Source organism: Homo sapiens, chromosome 13 (genome assembly GCF_000001405.40).
Source record: "Homo sapiens chromosome 13, GRCh38.p14 Primary Assembly".
Taxonomy (NCBI): Eukaryota; Metazoa; Chordata; class Mammalia; order Primates; family Hominidae; genus Homo; species Homo sapiens.
Window position 1 is genome coordinate 40,562,689 of NC_000013.11, and position 17,189 is coordinate 40,579,877.

Below are 17,189 nucleotides of genomic sequence, written 5' to 3' on the forward strand. Positions count from 1 at the left end.
CCACAACTGCAAATATATGGTGAAAGGGGCCAGAGGTGGTCTCTCCAAGTTTCAGCAGAAACACCAGAGCCAGGCTGCAGATGAGAAAGCCATGGTTTGATTCACCTCCTCTACAACACAGAGTAAGATGGTGTTCAGGGGAGTCCGTGGGACACGTGGAAAAGGAGACGAGGGAAACGCTGTGAGCTCCCCAGAAGGAAGGGCCTTGTCTTATAGCTTCTGGCCCCCAGCACAGTACAGGGCACACAGCCACTACACCTTGTTCATTCAGCAGCCTCTTTCCTCAGAGGTCTGCTCCCAAGGAGTGGGATTCTGGGTGCCCTAAGACCCTGGAATGTGCACAGTCTCCCAGCTTTCTTGGCCTCCTCTGCCAACTGGATGCAAGGCTCAGCTGACCATGCCCCCTGCATCTCTGCGGCCCCTCTTCTCAACCACAAAAAGGCTCTGGCTGGATTTGTGGTCACCCAGGGGTGCAGCCACAGCGCCCACATCCTCATGCCATTGACATGGGACGCCCGGGCCCGAGTGCCAACCACTGCGCCTGAGCAGAGCCTCTGCACAGCAGGATGAGGCCTGGCTCCAACACAAACTGGGAGAGAAGTCTTCTCTCATTAAAAGGTGGTAGAAGAGAGAAAATGGAGGGGTCTCACTTTCTAAAGGGAGATGCAAAAGTCAGGGTAAGGCCCAGCAGTCAGGGCTGAGAAATCCACATTTCAAAACGCCCTCTGACTCTCTGTACTGCATTCCGCCTAAAGATTTCAACACAGCAGCTACGTGACAAGCCCTCCTGCCAGAGCATACAGTGAAGTGTGAGAGCGGGGAAGACACCACCGGAGCCCCAGATTCCCGGCTGGAACGGAGCAGGTGTGTGGTGATGGCAGTGACTGTCTCCTGTTCCCAAGAATCCCCACCTTCCTCCACACCCAAGATCTACCCTCACCTCGAGACACGCTGTGAGGAGGGCCAGGGGCTTAGAGTAGGTACAAGAATCCCTAAAAGAGGCCAGGGAGTACATTTCCCTCCCATCCTATTGCATTCCCCTAAGATCCCCAAATTCCTATGGGAAGGCGCCACACACACACATGTATGCTCACAGAGCCACAGCCTTGTCTGCTGTACCCACCAACCCCAGCCGAACCGAGTTCTTAATTCCTCCTTAAGATCAGCAGGCCCGCACTTGGGGTAGCACTGGAATGCAGCCCTGCAGTCTGACCCTGACATTTTCTATACACTGGAAGTCCAGGCATTTGCACAATATTCCATCATGACAGTTTTGTTCTTTGAACACAATAGACACACAGATAAGCTCCGATGAAATCTCTGGAGGAGAGGAAGCTTGACTCCTGTCCCTGTCACATTTAGTTAATGATAAAGGGGGAAGAAAGATCTTCCCAGATAGAAGCTTCCTGGTTGTTGCATTGACTTGGGGAGAGGGGGTGAAGCTCTCTAACATTCATGATAAGCCTGTCAGATCACTGGCAAGCCCAGCTGGGGGTCATTTTTAAAAAGACTGCAGGAGACATAATAAGGAAATCTTTAAAACATTCAAGAAGCGTTCACTAACTCAGGTGGGACATATACTAATTTAGACTTTAAAAAAAAAAAAGCCACAGCAGTCTCCTACTTATCAAAACATCATATTACATATTTTTCTAAGAGGACATTTCAGGTCGCTCTTTGAGTAACAGAGCTGTTTCCTAACTTTGCCAACAATTAAAATTTTTTCCGAACAGGAAAAGGTTTGCTGTGCAGGACTTGTTACATAAATTCCTGTTTTTCACACAGCCAGCGGGACATTAAAGAAGCTACGGTTTCTAGGGGGTGGGGTTTGAAAAGGTAAATTTTGTAAAAATGTGTTGCTATTAACGACGTTGTGTCTGCACTCCCCTACTGGCCACAGGAGAGGCTGGATGGAAGAGCAGTTCACCAGAAGGACTTCGCAGCAGAGCCGCGTGAGACTGCTGGGCTCTGAAATATTATGCCCTTGAACTCTCAACAAATATTACCTGAGGACAGAGGCAGGATGTCAGGACAGAGGTTCATGCCCTGTCAATCACTTGCCCAAATCCAGCGTTTCTACATGACGGCACTAGAGAAACACAAGCCAGCCAATCTCCTCTCCACTAGCTTGTTTCTCTGCAGCCCCACTCACAAGCCTCTGCACACACCCCATCTGCCATCTGCATGCCTGGCCACCCCAAGCAGTGCAGCATGTGCTTCCTGGGAAGCCTGACCCAATGAGCTCCACAGATGGGGGAGTCGGGGAACCCCGACATGGTGTAGTCGGGGAACCCCGACATGGTGTACTTGCTTGTTCAACCTGCTCTGCTGGCTGTTCTATGTTCAGATTCTGAGTTCCTTAAAGAGCAAATGGGCTAAAGCTTGTCTTTAATTTCTAATATCATAGCCTCAATAACTGTTTGTTGCTTGACCCCCAAAAAAATTACAAGGAAGATATGGTGTCTTACACAATACACATCTTTTAACCATCCATTTGAGTACCAATTCATGTCAACTAACATTTACTGGAAACTATTTTGTGGAAGGAGTAGCGAAAGACATGAAGGAATGAGACACAGAACATGCCCTCCAGAAGCTTTTGATCTACCTGGGGAGAAAATAAGTACACGTAAAGAGCCACTTAATAGGATGACACAACCCATAGACTGTCCAGGAACACGGACCTTTTCTCTCCAAAGGCTGCCACCCTGCCCTCCATGCCCCAGCTTCTGTCTCAGCCCAACTGGCCCCTCCAGAAGCATTTCTTGATGACCTCATCCCATCCTGCAGCTCTAACATGGGACCTTACTTACTCACCCCTCTTTATGATTCCACTATGTCTGATCCCTGGGGCGGTGGGGGGGCATGCCTGACTTCCCACTACACTGTGAGCTGCTCAAGTGAGCACAGGGACCTTTGTCTGTCTTCTTGTACACTGTATCCTCACAGCACCAACACCATAGGGGCACTCAAGTATCTGTTGAACAGATTAGTATTTCCTACATTTACAAAGTTGGTGCAAAGATTAAATGAGATAGTATGCGTGGAAAGGCTTACCTTAATCTCTATTAGCTAATGTTACTGTTATCACTACTGGCATAATAGCATCCATAAAATAACATATGTCTGTGTTTTACAGACCTATGTATGTCATAAACATTAGTCTTATTTCTTTATAACCACACACTGCACTGCTCTCACTTAACATGAGGCTTTTTTATATGTTAATTACTGGAAAGATTGACTGGTTTGGGAAAAACAGTTCATTTTTCTCTTGACACTAGATATTGCCTCAGAACTGATTCAAATACTAAGGTGAGGCTGTCAGTGCCCTGGTCAGCCAATGTCACTAGAATATTTAAGTCTTCTCAAGGTGCTGCAGCCAAGCCACATGTGCAGGCATCACACATTGCTGGGGCCAGGGGCCTCCGAGCTCTGGACACAGCCAGCATGTGCAGAGCAGCAGCAGGGGTTGGCAGAGCAGGGACCTCAACAGGCCAGTTGGGAAGCTCCATGAAGGATGGTTCTGATGTTCTGTCTCTGTGGCTGGAAGAAGTGAGGTGCTGAGGCTGGTCCCCAGAGACCCCTGAGGACACATGCCCTCCCCAGGATGCTCCCAGACCCACTGTCTAAGGCAATCATCAGCCACTGAAGTGCAGGATGAAATCTTTACAACTTTCATTGACTTTCATTTTTTTTTTTTTTTTAAAGACAGAGTCTCACTCTGTTGCCCAGGCTGGAGTGCAGTGGCTTGATCTTGGCTCACTGCAACCTCTGCCTCCCAGGTTCAAGCGATTCTCCTGCCTCAGCCTCCTGAGTAGCTGGGATTACAGTCACCTGTCACCACGCCTGGCTAATTATTTGTATTTTTAGTACAGGCGGGGTTTCACCATGTTGGCCAGGCTGGTCTCGAACTCCTGACCTCGTGATCTGCCTGCCTCAGTCTCCACAAAGCGCTGGGATTACAGGCGTGAGCCACTGCGCCTGGCCTACTTTAAATTTTTTATCTCATTCTTTTAAAATTCTTATTTGTGAATGTATTATATAATTACACAATATATTTAAAGTGTATAAACAAATACATGTTTTATCAAAAAGGGTATGTGATTTTTTTAATAAAAACCATTTACAGACCACTAGTCAGTCTATCACGGTAGTCTTCTAGGAGCCTGAAGGCCCAATAAAGATGATCAAGTGAACAGAACTAGCTCTAAATCAAGTCTAGGTTGACTTTGCCCCCATCCCTCAAGACTGGGTTGAAAAAAGAGACCTGGTCCCACCCTCTGCTTGCAGCTCTCTGCCTCCTAAGAGCTGAGCCTGGCTGCCTTCCCAGCCACTTCTCTTCACCCTGGCCTGGACTCTCACATCCCCAACTCCTGTCTTCCAACCTGAGCTGCCACTTGACATGCATCTAGCCTGTCCCTCAGCCTATATGAAGACCACCACCTGTCAGCCACGGGTCTCCACACCACTGCTACATTCTACATTTCTTTCTGCTTGGCAGTTCTATGATTACCCTGGTCTTTATATTTAACCAAAAATAATGCAAAACCTCAACTTAAGGCTGAATACACCTTGCTCATGAAACCCTTAGATGGCCTTCATACCCCGTGTTTTATATTTTTGTATTTATTTCATAGTTTATTATATAAACTATGTATTTTATAGTTTACTGCTGTCAATACATCTCATTCCATCCTTGCAACAGCCCTATAAGGCAGGTATTACTGGCTTCACTTTAGAAATGGAAAAGGAAAAATTAAGACTCAGAAAATGATCTGTCCAGTTAGGGTTCAAAGCAAAGCTCTGTGATTCTACCTGCAACCCCACTGCTGGCTGAAAAAACTATCCCCTTGCCTTCACCACTGTTAAGAAGAATCAAAGGAACATACTTAAGGCTGAGGTTACTTGTGTGCACCTTGAGGGAGCAGAAATAATTCTGCTTACTAGTTTACAAAGCTCATTTTCTGCCTTAACAGGTGATAAATTTACACAATGTGGGCGGGCGTGGTGGCTCACACCTGTAATCCTGGCACTTTGGGAGGCTGAGGAGGGCAGATCACAAGATCAGGAGTTCGAGACCAGCCTGGGCAATATGGTGAAACCCCATCTCTACTAAAGATACAAAAATTAGCTGGGCATGGTGGTGGGCACCTGTAGTCCCAGGTACTCGGGAGACTGAGGCAGGAGAATCACTTGAACCTGGGAGGCAGAGGTTGCAGTGAGCCGAGATCGCACCACTGCACTCTAGACTGGGCAACAGAGCAAGACTCCGTCTTAAAAAAAAAAAATTTACACAATGTGATTTGCTCTTATTCTAGTGGGTTCTTCTTTATGGCAGGAATCCATAGCAGCTGAAGCGTGCATTTCAGATGTGAGCATCATCCTAGGGAAAACCTGTGGGGACTCACAGGGAAAGCGGAAAGGTCCCCAGAGACCCCCAGCTACCTAGAACTGCCCACCACCCTGCGTGAAGGTGTGAGCAACAGCCACCAAATCCAACAAAAAGAACTTCACACTCAGAAACTGGAACATATGATTAAATGAACTCATTGTCCCAGAAATTCTAGAAATTCTTTCAAAATGCTAGACAAACTACATTTTCCCAAAGCATTTAATCTAATTTCTGTGAACTTTCTCAATGTGTGCGATTGTTATGCAGGCTCCCGGCATGGCCTTTATTCCCTCCCTCCTCCTTCCTCTCTTTTACACCAGCTCTTCCTGCACTTCCACAAGTGAAAACAAACTGAACTAGGAAAATCTATTCAACAGAGTTCCCATTAAGAGTTACTAATAAAACAACAACTTTTAAAAATAATCCATTTTGTTTGCAAACAGAAGGAAAACATGACCTTTTGCCAACCCTTTTTTTACAAGAGTTGTCAGTAGACACACGTTAGCAATAGACAGTATGTAAATCAATGTTAGAAAGTGTTTAACACAAGATCTGCTGAGAATAGCTAATCTACATGCTTACACCCTAGATCCTTCCATAAGGCTGGTTCATTTCCCAGAATCGTTTCCTTCTTGCCCGAATATCCTCAAAGACCACTATACCCCCCACTGCTACCCCCACTGTGCAGAGGTCTTAAAGCATCTCCACTGATCCCAGGGCTGTGGACAGAGACTGGCGGCCTGGTAAAACCGGAAGGTACTTCGAAGGTCATCTGGTCTAACGCTCTTGTTTTATGTTAGGGAAACAAAGTTCAGAGAGATTACAACGCAGATGGGAAACTTATGGGTGTTCATTTACAAAAAATAGAACCACATGGAGCTTTAGTACTGGAAGAAATGTAAAACAAGTACCAAGAACATGCAATATTCCTCCCCTAGCCAAGCCAATCCTTACCTATGGTCTCAAACCGCTATAGACACAAATTTAGTTACACAGCTTTATCTCTAACTCTAGTCAGTCATTCCAAAGGAAGGGAAAATATGACTATCCACTGCAAAAGGAATGTAGGAGATTATGCTTGCATGTCAAATAGTACTAAAAAGACAAATGGAAGAACTCATAGGTGTCAGGAGAAGCTTCATGGACTTGGGAAGTACACTGTGAGGCAGAACCGGAGGTGCCGGCTCTGGAGGCAGAGTTACTGCTGGGCCCTTCTGAGTAGGTCCTGGATCTCATCACTAAGCCTGTTTTCACATCTGTAAAACAGTTACATGTACGGATGGCATGATATACATGATATACATGAAGTTGCCTGGTGCATCACCTGACACAATGACAATAAACACTGGCTATTTTGTTTTAGGAAGTGAAAGAATACATAAACAACAATTTTTTAAGCCATTATGAATGGTTGTAACTTGATTAAAAGTCACTCATCACAAACTTCCTGTTTAAAGGCAGCCAGCCTTCCTCAGGCTTATTTCCAATGTCCTCACAACCGAGCTGCAATCCGTCATTTACAGAAAAATTGTGTTTTCTCCCTGTTAAGAAAATTTTAAATGAAAGAATTTGAGCATTTAACTAGCATATTCTGTCGGTTTTTGAGGTGACCTATGTCAGAACACGTGTGTCCAGGATGTTGTTCAAGTTAAGGGAGATACAGCAGTTGTCTGATAATAGATTAATTTTTACATTTAAACAATTTTTTAAATAGATTGGGTTTTGCTATGCTGCCCATGCTGGTCTCCAACTCCTGGCCTCAACTGATCCTCCCACCTCAGCCTCCCAAAGTGCTGGGATTACAGGCCTGCACCACTGCACCTGGACTGATGACAAATTATATCCAGGATGGTGATTATTAGAATGATGTTCTTTCTCATCTCTTCACAAACACTAGTCACCCATGACTATTTACTTTATGGAAAACAAACTCTAAAAGAGCCCCTAGGCCAGGCGCAGTGGCTCATGCCTGTAATCACAGCACTTTGGGAGGCCGAGGCAGGCAGATCACGAGGGTGAAGAGATGGAGACCATCCTGGCCAACATGGTGAAACCCCCTCTACTAAAAATACAAAAATTGGCCGGGTGTGGTGGCACGTGCCTGTAATCCCAGCTACTTGGGAGGCTGAGGCAAGAAAATTGCTTGAACTCGGGAGGCGGAGGTTGCAGTAAGCCAAGATCGCGCCACTGCACTCCAGCCCGGCAACAGAGCAAGACTCTGTCTCCAAAAAAAAAAATAAAATAAAATAAAAAAAAGACCCCTAAGAGGTGAGGAGGTCAAGGAGTGTAAGAACGTACTACAGGACAAAAGAGGTGCGTTACAAGTAAATGGGACTACGGTATTGAGGAACAAAGAAGGAAGAAGGGGGCCACCACTAGCCCACAAGACCGGGGGCAGAAAGCTTTACAACGGAGGATGTTCTCTGGTTTGTCTGATCTTTATTAGCCAAAGGTCTAAATATTTCAGAGTAACATTTCAGCCAATAACCTCATACATTTAGGATTGAAGAAAACCCCTTCAGGGACAGAACAGAAAATGTACTTAATGATATTACACCATACCAAAGCTTTTGCATTTCAGAAGGTAGTAATTAAAAAGCAGCACTACAAAATTTCACTGTGTCCCACATGAGAACCCTGTATTAAAGGAATCTACAGTTTTGTGAAAGGAAGGGCAAAGCCCTTTAATTTTCAGGAAGTGAAATGGAAGTCTCCTGTACCATTCAATACTATGGGCTCTATGCACTATCAGAAACAAACTACCCCAAAAAGACAAATCCCAAAACAATCCAGGTGAGGCAGAAACGAGCAATCCCCTTAGACACCAGCTCCAGATCACAAGGCATTCATCTTAATCACTTTCCTTCTATAACCCCTCTGTATCAGGTGCTAATGTGGACCCCTATTTAAGCAAAGCCTGGAAAACAGAAACTATCTCACACTGTCATACGCTTGGGTTTAATGATACCACACAACCCAAACAAGGCCAGCTCTCAAATGAATGTCATCAACCCTAGCTAATAAGGTCCCTGTGGTGGATATCCAGAGACTAAATTTCATCTAGCTAAAATTCTTCTAAATGCCTTGTTTGAAGAGATCTGTAGGCGGAAGGGGAACATCACACACCGGGGCCTGTCATGGGGTGGGGGGAAGGGGGAGGGATAGCATTAGGAGATATACCTAATGTAAATGACGAGTAAATGGGTGCAGCACACTAACATGGCACATGTATACCTATGTAACAAGCCTGCACATTGTGCACATGTACCCTAGAACTTAAAGTACTATAAAAAAAGTAAATAAAAAAAGAGATCTGTAGGCTACCAAGGATTTCAAAGTGGAGCTTGTTTCCCCTAGGATTGATTTAGTTTTGATGCAGCCTGCAGTTACCCCTGGGGACCCTTTAACCCACTCACCAGCTCCTCCCCAGGGAGGCACAGAGGCCAGGTACTGCCAAATCCACAGCAGACAGCCACAACTCCCCCATCTTGCCCATCAGTGACCTAAAGGGGCCTTCCTGAAACTTCGACTGAATTAACTACTGGAATACCCATGCTTTTTGCTGCTTCCGCCTAATGGCTGTCTCAGATGCAAAAGGCCCCACCACAGGAGAATATTAAGAGGAAACTCATTTGACGCTGAAGTAATTCTGCTGTTCCTAATGAAAATCTTTGTCTGTTTTATAGGCCATACAATTTTTCTAATCTGCAGTGGTCCTATAAACGCACAGCATTATAACGCAATTAACTACCTTATCTATTTGGCTACCAGAAGACTAAGGCACAACAAAGTTAAAACCAAAAACAAAGAACGCATTAGGATCTACTCTCTTCTGATGAAGAATTTAAATTAGGCATAAAATAAAGCATAGCCATACCAATACTTTGATCCATTTTAAAGCTTTCTAAAATTTTAAAGGACTAAAGTGAATTTTAAAGTATTTTGTCAGCATTACATTGATGAGCCTGTTAATCCTGTTCATGCTAGGTAAATGTATATTCAAGGTATGTTCCCGAATTGTTTACAGAAGCCAGTGAAAAACTTTATGGATATAAATTCAGAAGCAAGAACACTGAAACTTTGACAGATTAAAATCCCTAGGACAATATCCCACCCATAGCATGTACTACGTAGAACTGTTTTTATCCTAAATATGTTTGCTATCTGGAAAATCTAGGGAAGAATTTATCTATTGGATACATAGTCTGTTTACTAAGAATTCTTAGTAAACAGAGTACAAAGTCTAGATTTATGTGTTTTTTCGCATAGTCTGTTTACTAAGAATTCTTAGTAAACAGAGTACCAAGTCTAGATTTATGTGTTTTTTCTATTTTGGGACCTAGATATGATAATCCAGATTACAAAAACAACAGCAAACTGCAATAAAGTGTAACACTCTGAATTACACTACCTGCAATGTTGGGTTTTCCTGTAGGGTTTACGTAGAATCTTGACACCAGCTTGCCCATTACTCTGTCTAGGAAGCCTAATGCAACAACGACTCGAGACTGCCGAATATATATGTTTGTTTATATACCACCCAAATATTATTCAAAGGTTGTCTCAAATCAAATAGCTTCCCAAATGGGTTGACCCAATAATAGCAAAACTATTTGGGCCCAGGTTTATGCTAAAGAGAAACTCCCACCATCACAGAGATTGAGCCCAAGTCAGGGCTGTGGCCCAGCTTCCCACAGACATCAGGGATCCACCTGAGGAGGCAGAGCACAATTACACTCTAAGACACAGTAGGTCTGCTGCGCAACAGCCCTGCTGTCCACACCTTCCTTCTAAGTAATACAAAAGACATGGTCCCCCTCACAAACTGCTGCTCCCTCAGCATCACCAGAAGCCCAGGCGTGTTTGGGGACTCCAAAAGCAGCTCACATAAATGTTTCAGTAATGCTGCTTTCATTAACATACCTAAAAAGCCTCCATGACTCCTCCTGGCCCTCCTCAATGTGCCCACACTAAAGCCACACATCCCCATCAGCACACACCTAACATGAATGAAGCCTACATTTTGCTTATTTGTAAGGCCAAATTTCCACCCCAGTGGAAGCACCTGTGCTGAGAGCTGCATGTTCATGTCTGTTTGAAAACTCAGCACCCACTGAGCAGAAAAGAAGCCTGCAGAGCAGCTTTCACCACTGCGCAGTCACTGGCACTCCACCAGATGTGGGCACATCTGTGTCAGAGGTGCCCACCAGGACTTTCAGCTTAAATGCAGTCTCAGGTCAAAGCAAGCCAGCCCAGGAAGAATGTGCTTCCCCAAGATCACTCCTGGGCTAAAGGAATTCTGGAAGGCTCCAAGTTGAGTCTGCCCTGGAACCACATTTAGATGACTTGAGGACATCCCACTAGGAATTCTTTGGGCTCCAGAGAGAAGGGAGAATGTCAGGTAGGAAAAAAGGGATCCCTGAACCACCTGAGGGTCCCCACTTGAATGACTAAGCAAACCTTACCATATGGACAGTGTTCCTTGTATTAAATATTAAATGTTTTATTCTAATGCTGCAGTTCGAATCATGTCTTTTTTGGAAACATGGATGATATTGTTGTCATACGTTAAGACAAGACTATCTTTATAAACCTCCAAAGACCAAAACAAAAGAAAACGACAAACAAACAAACAAAACAAAAAAACCTCACAGTTGCCTTTGGAAGTTATCGACATCATTTTAAGAAAAGTCTTGATCTTTTAAAACACACTGGCTATGCGCAATACACATTTGTGTTTGAGGATGAAAACACAAAGATAATCTTAATAACTTCGGGCAAACTAGCAAAGGCAGAAGGAATGAATGATTAAATGAACCATTTTTTAGGATGACTCAAACCAACAGAAAATTAGAATCTCCCACACAAGCCAATAATTTGCGATGGTACACCTTAAACTCCTCTTTGGAATTTTAGTCCTCATTGTTTCAGCGTTTTCACTTTCAATTTCCTCCAAAAGGGAACTGAATATCAACTATTGTGGCTAGAATCTTGCACACAAGTACAAACGTTTTTTTATCTCTTCCAAGCTACTATTCAAGGATACTCTGCACATGTATCCCAGGACTTAAAGTAAAATAAAAAATTTTTAAAAAGGATACTCTGACCTGCTGTTAGTTTTCCACCACAATGTATGTATTAGCACATTTGGAGATGCCTTTTCTCTACTTCTCTTAAAACTACGAAGTTGCCAATATGGTCCAGTAGGAAGAGTACTAGAAGTCAGGGCGTGTATGTCTGTGTCCAAGTTAGATCATTACTGCGCGTGTGAATCTGAGCTGTATGATGCCCTGGTGTCTCCGTACCAAATAACTGAATGGTGCATTGTGAAGATTAAATGAGAACATGTTTGGAAAACATAAAACAGATTATACATGTGAAGAATGCTACCAATTTCAAGCATATTCGAGAATTATTCTATAAACTCATGATATTCTAGAACAAAATGCAAGGTTTTTATTAGAAATTATTGGCTCTACTGTCACAGATACTTATATAACAAAGAGATGAGCAGTAAGGTCAGTCTAACAGATTACTTCAGCATTTCAACTCTCAAAGATCACTTTTCTCTGAACCAACATGTAGTCTCTGGTATTTCAATTTATTTTCATTTTGATTACTGAGAAAACTAATTTAGCTAAATTCTGACAGCCTAGTTAAGATTGCAATGGATGACTTAGAACTGCTGTTGACTGAACAAAGTGTAAAACAATCATTCTTCAGTGGTACCCTACCACCCCCAAAAAGAAAAGTTTCACATTTTAATCATTTAAAAAATCTATCACACATAATAAATAGCCAAACCTAGAAAACTCTTTTAAAGAAATATTTTGTTCGAAAATTGCTTGCTATTCCTAGCTTAATTTATAGCTACTTTGAAGACTAAAATGGTTATCCAATATATTGAGGTCTATCTTCATGAAGTCTCTGACAGAAATATATGATAGACTTTAAAAGGACCATTTGGGCCAGGCATGTTGGCTCACACCGGTAATCCCAGCACTTTCGGAGGCAAAGGAGGGAGGATTGCTTGAGCACAGGAGTTTAAGACCAGCCTGGGCAACACAATGAGACCATCCTGTCTCTACATTAAAAAAAAAAAAATCAAAAAGTTAGGTGTGGTGTTGCACATTTGTAGTCCCAGCAACACAGAAGGCAGAGGCAGGAGGATAGCTTGAGCCCAGGAAGTTGAGCCTGGAATGAGCCAAGTTCACAACAATGCACTCTAGCCTGGGTGACAAAAATAAATAAATAAGGGACCATTCAGAGAATCAGGACTGGAACTGAACATGTCCAGTTCATCCTGCCCAAGTCAGTGTTAGAGCACTTGCCAGGGGTGGGGGTAGGTGGAGTGAAGGGCACCAAGGAGGAAGGGTCTCAAAGGACCCTGTGTCAGTTATTTTTATTGGGAATACAAACCAAAGATCAATTTTTATCTTCATTTTTGTCACTGGAAAATCTGTGGGCCTACCTAATGTAAAGTATTTCAATCAACTGACAATTTCAGAAGTTAATTTATTTCCATTCACATTTCAATAACATAAATTAGGATCTTTTGATTTGGTCAAATCAATACCGATCAATGTAATTTTCAATGAACAATTATTTACTAAGCCCCTACTGTATACTGTGGAAATAACAAGTAGGCATTAAGGCTCAAGGCTCTCCCTGCCTCCCATGGTCTTACACATATGTACGGAAGGCTGACAACACAGAAACGTTAAGGTGCAGCACACGCAAAACAAGAAAGGAAAGGCCCTACGCTGGAATTGGGACGTGAAGCAAAGGACGACTTGGATTGCTAGATAAAACGGGATGGGAATTCTTGAGGTAGGGCAGAGCATGAACCAATGTTGACAGACAAACTATGTGGTGGTGCAGAACATGTGTGCTAGAACCAGACTGGCCCAGTTCAAACCCAGTTACGGCCTGAGTGCTCTTGGATAAATGGCTTGCGATCTTTGGGCTTGGTTCCCTTGTCTGCAAGAAGGAAATACTAACAGTACTTACTGACCACTGTGCAGAATGTCCGATAAATATGAGCTATTAGTGTTTGTGAGGAAACTTTTTTAAAAACACTAGTAAGGTATGTCTGGAGAAAAGAGAAGAGGTCAGTATGGCCATGTATGAGTTTAGACACAGAAAGGGAGGAGAGAGAGAGAGGAGGTACGGTGGGTGGGGCCTTAACACAGCAGCATGTTTTTTACCCTACATGCAACTCACAGGACAGCCAGTGGAAGATCAGAGGACAACAGAGTAAAGTTATAATGCAGAACCTAGAGCAAAGCGCCAAACCTGTCTTCCCACCTGGATGATAGGAGGAGAGTTTGGGCTCTGCTGGGAAAGCAGAAAGATATTTCTGATTATCCACAAATGTAACTGTGAGTGGGTGTCTGTATTTTTGCATACATCTACATTGCTCTTGATAAGTAAAAGCATCTCCAGGAGCTGCTGTCCTTGGCTGTGGTGCTTCTCCCACCTAACAGGAAGCTGCTGCAGCTAGTGCTGAGAGAAGGGCCTCCAGAAACAAGTTACCTTCAGGCCCTCCTCCCTGTCTCCCTCGCTGAAAATGACAGGGTTTTCGATTCAAGCTTTGGCTTCTGTCTCATGACTTGAAGGATACTTGATTGTTTTCAAACTTACGGCATAATCTGATATTTTCATAGCCAAAGGAGGGCAGGATGCTGGGGCCAGGACCATTTGTTTTGAAAACAGATTTTAAAAGTCTCCCTCCATGAAGCTGACTGCTTTCATACATTTTATCCATCATTCACAAGATTTGGCATAAAAATTTGGTTCTTACATTTTGAAGGTTTATTTTTGTTCCTTGATGTCATTGTCTAGGCTCAACTATAACATCTTTCAGGTTGTTTTGAACAGCTAAAAGGAAATTAAAGGAAATAATGGCCTACAATGTAACCATGGATTGTTCCACACAAACATGGATAAAGCTGCAACAAAATACTCATGCATTAGTCAGTACCCTGGTGGATGCACAGGAGATTCAGGGCCAAGGCTGTGGGGTACTGCAGGGGCATGAGGATAAGCTGCAGTGGCATCAGACTCCCCCCACCCACCCACCCCTCCTCCTCAATGTGAAAGGCATGATTACCCCCCGCCCACATGCATACTAGAAGACAAGTGGTCCAATTCTTGAAAACTTTTAAAAGGTTGATGAGCACTCCCCACAACAGAATTCGATTATAAACATTTTATGTGATGTTAACCTTACCCTCAACAGATCCCATCCTCCTTTCTTCTTCCACCAGCCAGATGCCCTGACCTCTAACTGCTTCCTTTCCTTCCTGTTACAAACCAAGTGTGTGCCATGCAACTTAAGACAGGGTCTAAAACTCACAGTTACTAGCAAACAAAGAAACCTTAGCAGACAGTTCAAATATTTTGTAGAATGGGTCACAGAGTCTAATACTCTGTCCACTTTAGAAGAACATAAAACCACTTTATGGAGGATAGCTAACAGATACCTGCAGACAGGAACACCACACCTTAGGTTATTAACTTTTCCTATTTCATAGCACTTCTTCCAGCCACTCCTCCTACTAGGATCATTTTATTCTCCTCACCAGCCCAAACTAAGTAAACTAATCACCTCCATTAATCTAAAGTTTTTGTCGTCGGGATTTAAAAATATTATACATGAACTTTTTGATCTATACTCAATGCCTAGAACAGAACAGAGCCAAGCAGAACATAACAGAATGAAACAGAATGAACAGAAGAGGAGAAAAGATAGATCAAGGGTGATATCCATGACCAGTTCTTAGGAGGTTAGACTTGCTTCCTTAGTTTCAGATATCAATGCAAAATAATTTATCCTTTCTGCTTGGCTGGAACAAACTTACTTCAAAATAAAAGAGTTTTATCAAGTTCTATTTCTGCTAAAAGACAGAAGAGCTGATTAAGAACATGGATGCAGAATGTGCCCACTGACTGGCACCTTTACCACCAACTTCTCTTCCACCCTTCCCTCAATTGCCATCTAGTAAAAGCAAAATTGCACGCAAAGTTGAACATTAAGTACTAAAGAAAGGGCAGTGGAGCGGGGGTTGATGCAGATGGCCTCACTCAGGGAATGTGCCTTGTCAAACTTCAGGCCAAGATGCAGCAGCATGCTGGCTGTACTGGGTCCAAATTTCTTAAGTCCATCCCTAAGCCAATAAACTCTGCAGCTGTCACTCAGGCTACAGTTCATGGAGCTTTACCTAACAAAGCTGACAACTGGTCCTAGAATGCTGATCCTGTAGATTGAGAACTTTTGTGCATTCTGGTTAAATTCCTACTCGGTATGAAATCCTGGAGGCATGGTGCTTATAGTGACATTATGACAAAGATTCCCTGCAGCCAGCCTCCCATCCCACTCCACCTTCGGGACAGTCTTTATTCCCAAAGCATCCCCAGCCACTGACTGTGTATCAGCATCCTCTGGACTCTTCCCTGCAAGTTCCCTGAAGATCAGATTTTCCTCTAACCATTGAGGTCTCCTGTAGCACCTCCAAAGTAGCTTCAGGACAAAGCAGCACACTATGGCCTACTAAAGCATTCTTCGGCATGTGCTCTACAAAATAATGGTTCCTTTTAGGGTGATTTGAATTCACTGAAAAAATACCTTTGGGACACTCTGGCCACACAGAATTAAACAGGATTCCTAACTGTACAGTTTTTTAGAGCCTTGAGTACACAAAACAACACAAAACAAACAAGAGCAAAACTGTTCCCTTAGACTTTGTTTTGTTTTGTTGGTGGGATCACATGCATGCACATGCACACCCCTCCACGCACATACACATTTCTTTGCCCGCGCTTCTTGACAGACTATACCATGAAACTGATGTTCAGCAGCACACATTTTGGAAAATGCTGATCTAATGGCAAGACGGTGGTAATGAGGAAGAAAATCTAAGTCTGGCTCTATCTTTCTGACTGGACACATTTTTACATCCTTTATGTCTAAGCTTTCTTGTCTATAAAGTAGGAAAACAATGTCTGTCCTAAATGCCCCACAGAATTGTAATGGGTATAAGTGCTTCAAAAAGCATAAAGGGCTACGTATTGGTGAGATTTTATGATTATGCCAAGGTAGAAGGAGGGGCTCTCACTGAAAGCCCCAGTGCTGCCCAAACTTCCTACCAAATAACACACCTGCCCTAGGTAGCTCAGAAAGCCCAGGTGTTCTGTGGGACTTGCTGCTAGAAGTAATTGAACCATGCCTTACTCTTTGATGGATGAAGGAGGAGACCAGACAATCCACGCCAGGTCGGATTACTCCGTGCGAAGCAAGACCCACAGTAGACCTCTTTCTCCTACATCCCATTCCCCAACAGTCAACATCATCTTCAGAAATACACAGGCAGAGTTATGACAGGAGAAGAATGGGCCAAATCTTTTCCATCTCCTTAAATGCTTCTGTAAAAAGACAAGCAAGGTATAGGAAGGAACAAGCAAAGAAGGGGGAAAGAAGACAGGAGAAGAGTGATTCTGAAGTTGACTGCTGAGAAGGCAGCAGAATGAAAAAAAAAGGGGGCGGGGGCGGTACAATCCTAAGACTTCTCCCAGGCCAGGAAAACACTCTAGCCTTGGCTGTGACACTCCTCCTCATGCTGTTAGGAGCCATGATGTGAGCACATAGGCAGTTTCTAGGGTCACCACAATAGAGCTTGGAAGATGAGGAACCTGTACACAAGGTTTCCCCATTAGTGTAATATGTGGTGGGATCAGTGTAGAACCTAACTAGGCAAAAACACCATCTGGGATTGGAAAGTTTATTTACAACACC

The 17,189-nt window shown here is 43.5% G+C and overlaps 1 protein-coding gene across 4 annotated transcripts in view, besides 2 other annotated features; it reads right to left on the reverse strand.

Moving 5' to 3' along the window:
• The window catches only part of FOXO1 (forkhead box O1), a 110,975-nt gene that overhangs the window by 7,022 nt on the left and 86,764 nt on the right, over positions 1–17,189 (reverse strand). The window contains exon 1 of one of the 4 annotated variants that reach the window (XM_011535010.3): positions 1–17,189. This exon is cut by the window's right edge and continues 23,475 nt beyond it. The exons of the other annotated variants lie outside the window; for them this stretch is intronic. The gene's annotated coding sequence lies outside the window, so the exon portion shown is untranslated. 4 annotated transcript variants of the gene reach the window in all.
• Positions 640–1,393: an enhancer, noted in NCBI's record as "H3K27ac-H3K4me1 hESC enhancer chr13:41137465-41138218 (GRCh37/hg19 assembly coordinates)". NCBI's record gives its function as "activates a minimal SCP1, AML or CMV promoter by ChIP-STARR-seq in primed H9 embryonic stem cells {active_cell/tissue: H9 hESC(primed)}" and the evidence as "EXISTENCE:reporter gene assay evidence [ECO:0000049][PMID:30033119]".
• Positions 2,276–2,365: an enhancer, noted in NCBI's record as "active region_7608". NCBI's record gives its function as "activates an Ori minimal core promoter by ATAC-STARR-seq in GM12878 lymphoblastoid cells {active_cell/tissue: GM12878}" and the evidence as "EXISTENCE:reporter gene assay evidence [ECO:0000049][PMID:35858748]".